This window comes from Homo sapiens, chromosome X, assembly GCF_000001405.40.
Source record: "Homo sapiens chromosome X, GRCh38.p14 Primary Assembly".
Lineage (NCBI taxonomy): Eukaryota > Metazoa > Chordata > Mammalia > Primates > Hominidae > Homo > Homo sapiens.
The window spans coordinates 148,969,399-148,982,901 of NC_000023.11; the positions used below are offsets into that span (position 1 = coordinate 148,969,399).

The 13,503-nt window shown below is 39.5% G+C and overlaps 1 protein-coding gene across 6 annotated transcripts in view; it reads left to right on the forward strand.

Moving 5' to 3' along the window:
• AFF2 (ALF transcription elongation factor 2) overlaps window positions 1-13,503 on the forward strand; it is a 500,047-nt gene that overhangs the window by 468,782 nt on the left and 17,762 nt on the right. For all 6 annotated transcript variants that reach the window (NM_002025.4, NM_001169124.2, NM_001169123.2 and 3 more), the window contains 4 exons: window positions 4,073-4,209; window positions 8,535-8,606; window positions 8,964-9,057; window positions 11,340-11,392. In NM_002025.4, the coding sequence (NP_002016.2) occupies window positions 4,073-4,209; window positions 8,535-8,606; window positions 8,964-9,057; window positions 11,340-11,392 (356 nt within the window). The remainder of the gene's footprint in view (window positions 1-4,072; window positions 4,210-8,534; window positions 8,607-8,963; window positions 9,058-11,339; window positions 11,393-13,503) is intronic.

Genomic DNA, 13,503 nt, shown 5'->3' on the forward strand with positions numbered 1-13,503 from the left:
AAATACAGTGATCCCTCCGTATCCATAGAAGATTGGTTCCAGGACCCCCTCGGACACCAAAATCCTCAGATGCTCAAGTCTCTGATATAAAATGGCCATTTGCATATAACCTGTTCACATCCTCTAATATACATTAAATCATCTCTAGATCACTTATAATATCTAATACAATGCAATGGTATGTTAAGAGTTGTTATACTGAATTGTTTAGGGAATGATGACAAGAAAAAGTCTGTATATGTTCAGTGCGAATGGAACCATTCATTTTTTTCTGAATATTTTTGATTTAAGATTGGTTAAATCCATGGATGCAGAACCCACGGATACAGAGGGCTGACTGTATCTTAAAAATTCCTTGGTGGTGGTGGGGGGGTGATATGGAAAAACAAGGTTGAGGAACACTTAGAGGAATGATATTTTTGCTAGGCTTATGCATATATTAGCCTGGGAAGCACCCTTATAGTTTAAGCCACTCATTTTATGGATGGGGAAACAGTCCCAGGGGTGGGGGGCATAACTTGGCTATTAATTGGCACTATAGTCATGTAATTTTCTGTCTGGACATCAGCTACTCCTAGGGACGAAGGGGTTTAGGCTAGGTGATCTCTACAGATCTCTCCAGCTATTGGGTTGTGAATGAAAAGTCACTTTCAGAAATCAGGATCTAAGAACAATTTCCAAATGGGAGAGCCAGTGGAGCCAGATGACCTAAGGAAATTGTCCTGTAAGGCAAAAGAGAAAGTACCTAGTTTGCATATATGTACACAGGTTTTCACAAAATCCGCTTGAATTTGATTGAAACCGATATTTCTCCACAGTAGCTTACAGAAAGAAAACCACAGAATTCCTGCAGCTCATAAAAGCTGGAGAACATTTATTGTAAAAAGTCATTTACAATAAAAGATTCTGCAGGACCTCTAGCTAATCATTTTATAGTTGTACTTAATCCTTTGCTAGAGACAGCTACTCTGCCATTTTGAGAATTGAAACTTTCACAGTTGCATAGAAAATATTTTGATAAAAGGTATACAAGAAAATTAAAACAGCTAAATCTGCATTATATTCCTTCTTTTACATAAAATACCATATTAGTGGAATTCTTACATCCTGCTATCAAAAATTGAAAATGTTAAATCCTGTTATAAAATACTCACTATAAAAGTGTCATGTATAATATTCATTACACATAAAAAAGAAATCAGTATGTCTAAGTCAGTTTAATCATGACCATTATCAGGGCTAAAACCTTTGCAATAAAATTTTACCAAACTAAAATATTTAGTAGTACTATATTTTTTGGCTTTTTGACACACTATTTCAAACTATCATTTATAATGAAAGTGATGGGATTATTGTCAACAGTCATACTACAGCTTCTCATCTTTCATGACAATAGCATCAATTTGTTAATCTTCTCCTGAGAGTGAAATTGATGTCCTCACAAAGAGTTCTAAAGCAAAAATGTATGTGTTCATTGTCCATGAGACTTCTAAAAAGCAGCCCTTAGTTGCAAGTACTGTCTATAGGACACTACAATGAGCAGATAGTTTAGTAAATTTCATGAATAGAAACTAGTTGAGGCAATGATTTGGATTCAGGTCCACCAAAAAGATAGCAATAACAGCAACAACAATGCCACAAACCACATATGATACCCTGCCTGCATTTTTCTCTTCTCAACTAGCCTTGGTGTCATGATGATAGAACCTTAAGCCGGTAACTTCATTGTTTTTTTTTTTTTTTTTTTGAAAATAGCCAATCAAGTTTATTTATAGGTGGTTAACTGGAATATATATTAAGAATAGTTGGGCATTGAAAAGTATACATAGGCAGATAGGTGGCATATAGTTGGCTAAGTGTTGCTAATAAGTTTGAAAAAACAGTTGCAGACATGTCACTGTCCTTTTGTCTAAGTGAGGCGATACGGGCTTTATGCCCAAAGGAAAATAGGAAATTAAACTTTTTTTTCATGAGACTAGGTATCAGAAAGGCCAATCAATATCTTTCAGGTCAATGGTCTTCTCTGGGATTTGAGAAATTGACTGGTCCTCTATGTCATCCAGATTTATCAGACAATTTCTCCCCTATCTTGCTTATTAATTTGGTGGAAACTGAGACATGCTTTGTTGTTTCTTGCCTCTGGAGGGGACAGACCCTTAGGTAGAAAGGAACTGTAAAGTGCCTCCATCACCTTCCCGCCTCTCATTTCTCCCTGCCTATATTAATGAAAGAAAATTGAAGGCAGGGTCCCAAGGCATGTCAAGAAGAATTGCAGATTAAGTAATGTTGTTGTGTTATTTTAATTAGACAGGCTTTTTCAATCCTAGAAAATATTTTTTTTTCTATTTCTTTTTTTTTTTTTTTTTTTTTTAATGTTTTTTTTTTTTATTATACTCTAAGTTTTAGGGTACATGTGCACATTGTGCAGGTTAGTTACATATGTATACATGTGCCATGCTGGTGCGCTGCACCCACTAACGTGTCATCTAGCATTAGGTATATCTCCCAATGCTATCCCTCCCCCCTCCCCCGACCCCACCACAGTCCCCAGAGTGTGATATTCCCCTTCCTGTGTCCATGTGATCTCATTGTTCAATTCCCACCTATGAGTGAGAATATGCGGTGTTTGGTTTTTTGTTCTTGCGATAGTTTACTGAGAATGATGGTTTCCAATTTCATCCATGTCCCTACAAAGGACATGAACTCATCATTTTTTATGGCTGCATAGTATTCCATGGTGTATATGTGCCACATTTTCTTAATCCAGTCTATCATTGTTGGACATTTGGGTTGGTTCCAAGTCTTTGCTATTGTGAATAGTGCCGCAATAAACATACGTGTGCATGTGTCTTTATAGCAGCATGATTTATAGTCCTTTGGGTATATACCCAGTAATGGGATGGCTGGGTCAAATGGTATTTCTAGTTCTAGATCCCTGAGGAATCGCCACACTGACTTCCACAATGGTTGAACTAGTTTACAGTCCCACCAACAGTGTAAAAGTGTTCCTATTTCTCCACATCCTCTCCAGCACCTGTTGTTTCCTGACTTTTTAATGATTGCCATTCTAACTGGTGTGAGATGATATCTCATAGTGGTTTTGATTTGCATTTCTCTGATGGCCAGTGATGATGAGCATTTCTTCATGTGTTTTTTGGCTGCATAAATGTCTTCTTTTGAGAAGTGTCTGTTCATGTCCTTCGCCCACTTTTTGATGGGGTTGTTTGTTTTTTTCTTGTAAATTTGTTTGAGTTCATTGTAGATTCTGGATATTAGCCCTTTGTCAGATGAGTAGGTTGCGAAAATTTTCTCCCATGTTGTAGGTTGCCTGTTCACTCTGATGGTAGTTTCTTTTGCTGTGCAGAAGCTCTTTAGTTTAATTAGATCCCATTTGTCAATTTTGTCTTTTGTTGCCATTGCTTTTGGTGTTTTGGACATGAAGTCCTTGCCCACGCCTATGTCCTGAATGGTAATGCCTAGGTTTTCTTCTAGGGTTTTTATGGTTTTAGGTCTAACGTTTAAATCTTTAATCCATCTTGAATTGATTTTTGTATAAGGTGTAAGGAAGGGATCCAGTTTCAGCTTTCTACATATGGCTAGCCAGTTTTCCCAGCACCATTTGTTAAATAGGGAATCCTTTCCCCATTGCTTGTTTTTGTCAGGTTTGTCAAAGATCAGATAGTTGTAGATATGCGGCATTATTTCTGAGGGCTCTGTTCTGTTCCATTGATCTATATCTCTGTTTTGGTACCAGTACCATGCTGTTTGTTAAGACCAATTCATACATTGTCTTCTGTATCAGGGTTTCTTAGCCTGGGCACTGCTGACATTTTGGGCCAGCTCATTCTCTATTGTGGGAGCTATTTTGGGCACTGCAGAAGTTTATAAGCATTTCTGGCCTCTGTTCACCAGATGCCCCCTCTCCCCAGGGGTGACAACTGAAAGTGTCTCCAGACATTGCCAAATGTTCCCTGTGGGAAGGGGGCAAAACTACCCCCCAGTTTCAAACCACTCTTTTATATGAAGGAGAAAACAGAGAGTATTATCTTGACGAGTCATCTTCCTGTTTCAGTTCGAGAAATTTGGCAAAGCTGTGAATTATGCTGATGCCGCCCTCTCCTTCACTGAATGTGGCAATGCCATGGAACGCGACCCTCTGGAAGCAAAGTCCCCATACACCATGTACTCTGAGACTGTGGAGCTCCTCAGGTGAATAGCCTTTCTGCAATCATCTTCCTACACTCATTTCAGCTAGAATTAGAAGCTATGTTTTAAAAAATGTATCATTTCCACTTATTAATAATTTGTCCAAGCCATCCTCTTAGAAGTCATCATAATTAGTTCTTGCCATTTTATTAATATCATGGAAAATTTATAATTGATGGATGCTGACTTTATAAATTATCCCCTCCAGAAGTTATAATGTGAGTGTTATAATTTTCAATATTCGTAACATTAAAATGGAAATGTAGTGGGTAGAAATAAGTATAATCATTTTACCGTTTAGCATTGACTTGTCTTTTCAAAGGTGCAGTTTTATAATTCAAAAAAATGGTGCTCTCAGGATTTCTATTACAAACCATGTTTTCTAAGAATTTTTATCTTGGTTATTAAAAAGGGAGGGGCACTGTTCCAACTCAGAGTTGGTGTTTAAGGCTGCAGGTGTGGAGTAGACTTTCCATGCATCTGGAATTAGGGAAATAGATGAGGTGGTAGTAGGGGCTGGCGGTACAGATGAGAGGATGAGAATAAGAGAGGGGATATTAACTGCACACATTATTGGTTTCATTTACATTTTAAATGAAATTTTCTGGCTGTTGGTCTTGGTGGTGTAGAAATTCTGTGTTATCAAAAAATTCATAGAAGAAGAGGAAGAAGAGGTAGAAGAAGAAATAATCCATTCTGGTGTTATCCAGTGATTTGCAGATATTTGTACAATAATTTAATCCACCCCTGAATAGTGGATAAGCACCATCGTTCACTAGATGGACTAAATAATCACTTTTGATTGATTGAGTAAGCAGTTTTTTACCTGAAAAGTCCTTATGTCCAGTCCCATCTGGCTTGATTAATCAATAATGCCAGGACTGGTTTATACTATCTATCTTGCTTGTACCTGCATTAACTGTTACAAATCTGAGGATATTTGTACCTAAATCTTCAGACAAACACTGGACAGATTTAGTGTGCATATTTTCCCAGTGACACATTCCAAAAGATAAAAAGAACTATTTTTTTAAAGCAACTCTGCTCACATAGAATCAGAAGTTTAGTTAGAGCCACAAAAGTAGGGTGATTATAAGGGCAGCTCTAGCCTTGCCTGCTGAGCCAATCAGCCATCTTTCTCTTTGCACTGCTCTGAAATGTAGGCACTGAGAAAAGTGTCAAGTATTTCTCCTTGACTTATTTTATATACTGTGAAAAGCACCACCACCATTCTGTAGCTTTCAAGGAGAAATTGATTGCCCAGTGTCTAGTCAAACTACCTGTGATTTTCAAAGATACACAAGATGAACATACTGGCAAAAATCATAAGGATTCAAAACTGAAGGGAAACATTAGTGAACAAACACAGGGACAATTCATGCTCTCTATTCATTCAAAAATGCAAATTAAAACAAGGCACTTTTTAAATTAACAAGAAAACGTAACAATGATAATATCTAGCACTAAAAACTACAGCAAAAAAAGGCCTAGCAGTGAACCAGACCTCTCCTATGCAGCTGATGGGAATGGAAATTGATTATTGTAAATTGAGGGCAATTTGGCATTGTGTAGGGAAAGCCATACAAATGAGTATTCATATCTTTTGATCCAGTACTTTAACTGTGGAAATCTGAGTTTTCTCTCCTGAAGAAAACAATTGTAAAGACTAGAACAAGTAATCGGTATGATGTTCAATTTGACATTATATGTAATAGCACACAATTGGAAGCACACCAAATAATAATAGAACAGTAATTACATAGTAGGACACTCAACAGAATACTTTGCAGCGATTGAAATACAACAATGACAGAGACTATGCAGCCGCACAAAATATATTTATTATATGATGTTAAAATAAAATCGAGCTGCAGAATAACATGCACACTACAATTATGATCATGAAAAGTTTGTATATGCATCTGAACCAAACTGGAAGGGAAATGAAATCATAGCTGTAATAAGTCAGTGAGATTATGGGTGATTTCCCTCTCTGCATATTCTTCTTTCTTATTTTCTTTTAAGAAGACACATGCTGTCTTAAAAATATGAAAGTAAGGCCGGGCGCGGTGGCTCACGCCTGTAATCCCAGCACTTTGGGAGGCCGAGGCGGGCGGATCACGAGGTCAGGAGATCGAGACCATCCCAGCTAAAACGGTGAAACCCCGTCTCTACTAAAAATACAAAAAATTAGCCGGGCGTAGTGGCGGGCGCCTGTAGTCCCAGCTACTTGGGAGGCTGAGGCAGGAGAATGGCGTGAACCCGGGAGGCGGAGCTTGCAGTGAGCCGAGATCCCGCCACTGCACTCCAGCCTGGGCGACAGAGCGAGACTCCGTCTCAAAAAAAAAAAAAAAAAAAAATATGAAAGTAAAATACAAATTTCATTTTATGGTAAAAGTGCAACGTGAATCATTAAGTAATTTTCTTTTAATTATTCACGAAAAAGTTATTTAGGGAAAAAAACATGATTTATGTTTTATTATATGCTATTTTACTTCCCATAGAAGTTTATTTCAATGAAATCTGAAAGTCAATGGAGAATTTACGAGCATTCACTTTAAAGTCAGTGTTTTTAAACTTTATTTTGAGGTAATTGTAGTTGCACATGCAGTTGTAAGAACTAATACAGAGAGTTCCTGTGTATTCTTCACCCAGTCTCCCCCAATGGGAACATCTTGCTTAACTATATTACAGTATCACAGCCTGAACATTGACATTGAAACACTCCGAAGACTTCATTCAGATTTCACCAGTTTTGTTTTGTTTCCAACTTCACCATTTTTGCATGTACCCATTTATGTCTTCTCTATGTTTTACTTTTTTTATACTTTCTGTAAATTACATGTGTGTATAATATTTTTTTAATGAGAGGAATTTCAGTTGGGAATAAAATGAGTTAAAGCAACTAGGTCTTCTGGTCCACTTAAGCAATTGAAACTCCACTATCAAGTCACTTCAAATGTGGTTGCAATTAGAGGGTGAGTGTAATGTGAACATAGTTTTTAGTAGTGCAATATCATGTTGAAGAAATTTTTATTACTCTCTCCCCGACAGTATGCTGGCTACAGAGAGAGAGCCCCATTTTCTTCATTCAAGTAATTATAGTTGCTCTGAGCTCTGGGAATCTGCAATAGAAATGTATTTGTGAAAACAAGTGGGGCATCACAATGACTTGACATTTCAGTGATCCAACTGTCAAAGAAAGCTAGATTTATTACATAATAAAAATTCCTTTGCTTAATATTGCAACAAAGGAAGGGACCCACGTTAAATGTACAAGTGCCTTTCCTGGAAAATGTTCACTCAACAGAACTAGAGCAATAACCAGGAGAGCAAGGCGGCTAGAATGCTGAGGAGGCCGAGTCTCAGGGGGTGAGCCTGGGCTCCCCAGTGTTCTGCGGGGGAAGGTTGCTGAAAGCGAGGAGTCAGGCATGCCAGCTCAGTGGCCCTGCAGGCTTTCTGTCGCCTTCTTATAAATGAGAACTTTCAACTTCCTTCTGCCACACTGAACTCCATTACTTATTCTACTACAAGTACCTGTGAAATTGCATTAAAGCTCAGACAATGATTTTATGCAATGAATTGATTTTCAAGAGTCTAAATGCTCTGAATGGAATGTACTTGGCTAGAAGAAAAAAAAATGGGAACTACTCAACCTTTTATCACCCCAGTGCAGAACAGTAACAATTAAGGAGAATAGAAAGACAAAATATACAAGCATCATAAATTAAGGGTGCTTAGACCTTAAAATGCTGTGAAATCGACCTTCCTTTAAAAAAAAAAACCAAACCACTTTCAATAGGAATATATTCAAAACCTGAGCCATTAGAAAAGACCTTTTAGCTGTGTGATTGAGGTCTCCCTATGCTCATGTCAGACATAGTTATATATTATTTACCTAATCTGTCATAAACTGAACTGAAACTGACATTCTTGTCCACCTCTCATTGAAAACCAGTCATAGTATTTAGCTACAGTGTTCCTAGAAACAGTATTTTACCAGCATTTAGACACACACACACACACACACACACACACACACACACACACACACTCACGGTAATTCCACAGCATTGTCCTAAGGCTCATGATTTCACTGCTTTCTCCAGAGTTCAACTCTGTATTTCACATGAGTCCTCTTATGACATTTTTATCCTCATTTTGTGTATGTTTTCGGGGAAGCATGCTTTTGCCCACATGTACCAGTCAGTCCTCTTGCCCAGAACAAATGTGGGAATAACTCATTCAGGCAATCAGAATACCAGTGACTTTAGGCATTTCTGAAGGGTAATACAGATTCCACTTTAGCTTTTCTTTTCTCTTCAAAGGTATGCAATGAGGCTGAAGAACTTTGCAAGTCCCTTGGCTTCGGATGGGGACAAAAAGCTAGCAGTACTATGGTGAGTCCCATGGAGGCCACAAGGAAATTGCTGAAATGTCATGGAAGGATTTGAAAACTCTAGATCAACTTAAGCTGCTTACCCCAGATCATTACTCTTGTTTTCCATTAAACTATTAAAGGATAACTAATGGATTTCTTCAGTCACTGACTAAACATTTACTCTCCTAACTTATACCCTTATCAAAATGGGATTTTAATGCTTGCCCCTTCCCTCTTTAGAATTTCTTTATTTACTTATGTTTCTCAATCTAACCATAGGAAAGTAACTGCAAATTGTGAATCAGCAGTCTTCTTAACAGTTTATAAAGTTTCACTAAGCACTGGCATTAACAGAAGCCTTTCCTCATCACCACAGCTACCGATGTTTATCACTCCTCTATTTGAGAATGTTTAAGCTGAAGAAGGACCATGCTATGAAGTACTCCAGATCACTGATGGAATATTTTAAGGTAATGCTTATTTTGTATAATTTATAGGTACAGGATGATAAAATCACTAATAAGACACGACATGCAGGTTATCGAATGTCAAATGCTGCCAAAGGCTTAACCTCTCTCCTCCCTGCTGGCCATGGCCGTCCTACCCTTCCTTAAGGGCTCAGCAAGGAGTTTATGGCTGATTTGGTTCCAGGGAGAGAAGGCACGATGGTGCAATCTGCTGACTTTTTTCCAGACTCACCAAATGACCCTTGGCAGTCTCCTGGTTGCAGTGAGGAGTATGTCACCTTTTTGCTGCTCTGTGAGGTGGGCACAGCTTGTGGCTATAGGTTTGGCCAGTCTTTTGTTAAATGATAGGTCAGCCCAGGAATCTCTCAGAAGTGAGAGAAGTCACTGTGGCCACCCTGGCTCTATGTGCACGTCCACAACCCTGGAAGGCCTTTGTCCATGGGGAGTCTTGGAGTGCAGTAGTTGTAATTAAAAACAACTGATTGCTTTGGTTACCAAAACAAACAAACAAAGCCATATCGTAGGGAGCTGGGGCTTTTAACTTATAAGCACAAAAAATATAGGCAATCTCAAAATGCAACGCCAAAATTTGAGAATGAGCCCAGGTAAAAATTGCAAACAGCAACTTCATACTAGGCCTGATCACTGTACTCTCCAACAACAGTCATGATTTAGAGTTGGGGAGACTCAAGCTCCTTCTGTTGGGCAGGTCTAAAAAGAAAAGGACATGATTTTTTTTCTTTCTTGCCAAGTGCGTGAGACCTCTTGGCTAAATCATACCAAAGTAGTTGTTTGAAATGAGCGAAATTATGGCCTTATGTGAAACATGCAGTGAGTGGAAGTGCACAGCTTTATGACGACACTGTGGCACAGTTGGGAAAAAGAGCATGTTTCCCAGCTATTATGTGGTGTGGCCATAATGCCATAAGGCTAGTATTGATGTGGGTAAAAGGGAGTCATATACAACAGGCCCTCTTCTCTTCATATGCCTACACTCTTAACTTCTGCTTTAGAAAGTTCTTTATTGAACTTCAGTGGGCATCAGAATCCCCCAGAGGGCTTGTGAAACAAGAATGCCTTGCCCCAGCTCCCAGATACCTGATTCTGTAGGTCTGAGGTATGGCCCAAGAATTTGTATTGCTAATAAGTTCCCTGGTGATGCTTCTGCTGCTGTTCTTGTGATCACACTTTGAGACCCACTGATGTAATATTTGCCCTCTTTGGCCTACCCTCTATAGTTTACAGGGTATTGTAAAATTCCAAACAAATACTAAATAATTCATTCATCCAGGAGTATGTTGAGCCTTCTTGAGATTAAAAACTGGAGTCTGCAGAATGCACCTTAGGTGTGGGTCTACAAAGCTCCAGAGAAGTATTCCGTTCTCACTGGACTCCCGAAAATGCTGACTCTTTCCCTGACCCTCCTTTCGCAAAGGGGGCTGGGCTAGCAGCAAAGAGGCAGAAGATGAGCATCACTGGGGATGTAACTTCCGAGAGCAGGTCTGAGTCAGGCACAGTGCCATGAGTGTGAGTTGTGGCCATCTGTGCTGCTTGACCTTCCACCTGGCTAGGCCATTACAATGAGCCTGATCCCTGTCCTGTAGTGGTAATGCTGAATGTCAGTTTTCCCTCTGATCCACAAGTGTGTGGTCTTGAAAATACAAGGAAGCCCATCCTTTAAACCAGCCCACTTCCATCAGAGGAACAAAGGCATATTTAGTATTTGATTGCAATGCAGCCCTGGACCAGTCACTTTGTTAAATAGGGAAGCTCTTTAGCCATGAGGGTTTGCATGTAAATAGAGCAAATCAAGGTGATTCCTGAAAACAAACAAACAAACGAAAATACTGCTTGGCTCTGACACATTCTTGGATTATTAGAAATGACAGCTCACTCTGCATCCCAGGGAAAAAGTTTGCAACTGGAGCTAAAGGTGAAAAGCTTACTTGCACTCTGAAGAGCTTGTTTGGCAGAATAAATTTCAGATGAGGATAATTAAACCACTTCTTGGAGAACCGAGTCTGATTTCACTGGGCCTTTTAGTATATAAGATCTTTCATCAAGTGACTTTCATGGTCCTGATTGGAGCCCACTAATTATCCTAACCAGCTATTTTCATCGAGTGTGCGTCGTGGTGTGCTGACGTGCACATACATCCCAGCTCTGCATCCCGAAATGCTGCAATCAATATTAATGTACTCTAAATCACACTTCCATCTGTTTCTGAATTAATAAAACACAAAATAGATGTCCTTATTTCCCTTTCTCTTCTCTCTCTCTTTTAGCAAAATGCTTCAAAAGTCGCACAGATACCCTCTCCATGGGTAAGCAATGGAAAGTAAGTATTTTCTGAAAATTGCTTTTTCGTGAAGATGAGTGATTCAATAGACCCCAGATATTTTGCATTGACAAGTCAGGAGTGAAGGTCAATTCTAGAACTACAGTCATTTTTGTGCATACAAAATTCCAGCCAGGCTTCGGCTAATGGCAAGACAGAAAAGTTTAAAAAGATGTGCTTCAGAGTTATTTAACTATTTGATCTTTAAGCCAAATTATAGCCATAAAAATATCTGCTAATAAGATGGCAAGCACCATGCCATTTTAGGGAGGCAGGACAAAGTTAACTCCACTGCAGTGATTTTTCAATGATTCACTCAATAATGAAAGACCAATGAAATATTCATTGATATATGGTAAGTGCTGTTTAATAAAACCAAAGGCATAATAGTGCTGAAAATGTGAAGGCACTTGCTCAGCCAATTATCCAAGCCTTCATGATAATTTTTATATTAATACTAAAATGCCCTAGCCTAAGATAGAAAAGCATCCACTATAATGCTGATTGGAGGCTCAGGGAACTCACCTGCGCCTGAGGCCTTATTTAGAGTTCTATCTGCTTGGGACAGCTCAGTCTTAATAGCAGTGGAGTAGGGGCCCAAAAACCGTTGACCTGGTGCTGAAGCTGCCCTTGGCTTACAGGGTAAGCTAAGAGGGCCCCTTCCTCTATCTGGGCTTGTTCTTTATCGCTAAAATGAAGGGGTTGGACCCAATGCCCTCGAAGTCCCACTGAAGAGATGTCTCTTATAGAGAGTGAGTTCGAATCCCAGTTCTGTGTCAGCTGTGAAGTTAGCTAACTTGCCTGAGCATCAGTTTCTCCTCTGATTTCCAAATACCCCTTACCAGCCCAAGCCCACACCCCTCAGTGATGGGAAGGGAAACTAGATGACTGTGGACATAGACCGCTTTATAACTCCAAGCTGCTTTTTCAGTTTTTCATCATTTCAAAATTCCTGCATCTCTGATCAAAATAATTTCTTCAAGAATAAAACAGTCTCTACTGCCACTTTATAAATATCTAGAAAACGTACTCCAAAAGCAACGGGACAATGAACTCTACTTTGAAATCATAAAAACATTCAGTGCGAGGGAACAGATCCATTGAAAACTACACATTAACTCAATTACTTCACTGAAAGGAAGCACTGTTTAAAATGTTGAATTAGGTCTTACTCTTATATTGACGAACAAAAGAGAAAGAGTGCTTCTCTCTTAAGAGAAAAAATAAGTTCAGAAAATAAAAATAACCGGAGAAAGGCCCAGCTCTGTTTTCCCTGAGCACAGAGTAAAGTAAGGGCAAGGGCAGGTAAGCAGCTATTAAAGAATCACTGGGGAAAAAAGCGTTTTTTTAAAAAAAATTCTGAAACGCAAGAACTCAAACACAACCTAAGCTTGGGAAGTTGCATGAAAAGCCTCCTGAAATGATTCTTAAGCAGATTTTGCATGAAGAAAGCACATTCCCTTTGGTAGGCCACAGAGCTTTTGACTGAGGCAACTCAAAACAGTCACTCAGGGGTTATGTCTCGTTCATTCAGCAAATGCTTTGCGTGCATCTGCAGCACGATGGGCTGGGGACAGAAAGCTGAATTTGATATGGTCCCTGCACTCCAGAAGCACACAGTCCAGTGGAAGGAGGTGACAGGTATGAACAAGGTGCTGTGGAAGCCTAGGAGAAGGAGCTTGGGCCTCCCTGCGTGACCAGGAAGGGCTTCTTGTCTGCAAGCAAGATTATGGCCTTGTTTCTCTGTGAATGAGGGTGGTGTCCCCCAAGGAGGGCTCTCACAGCACCTTCCAGGAGCAGCACCCTCTGACTTCAAACCCTCCTAGGCTGGCTAGCAATTGGGGAAGTCAGCTGCCCAGAGGTGGTTAAGGGCTCTGCAGGAAATTATATGGAGAGATGAGCAGAGGGTTAAGAACAGACATTCAGGAACTGCTTCCATGGAAGCTGGAGAAAGAAAGTGCAAAGAAGCAATTGGAAGGAGAAGCAGAAAAATCTGCTGAGTTTACAGCAGGGGCCAGGAAACTTTTTATTTAAAGCACCAGACACTATATATTTTGGGCTTTGTGCTAAGAGGTGAAACCAAGGCTACTATGTAGAAAAATATGAGAGAA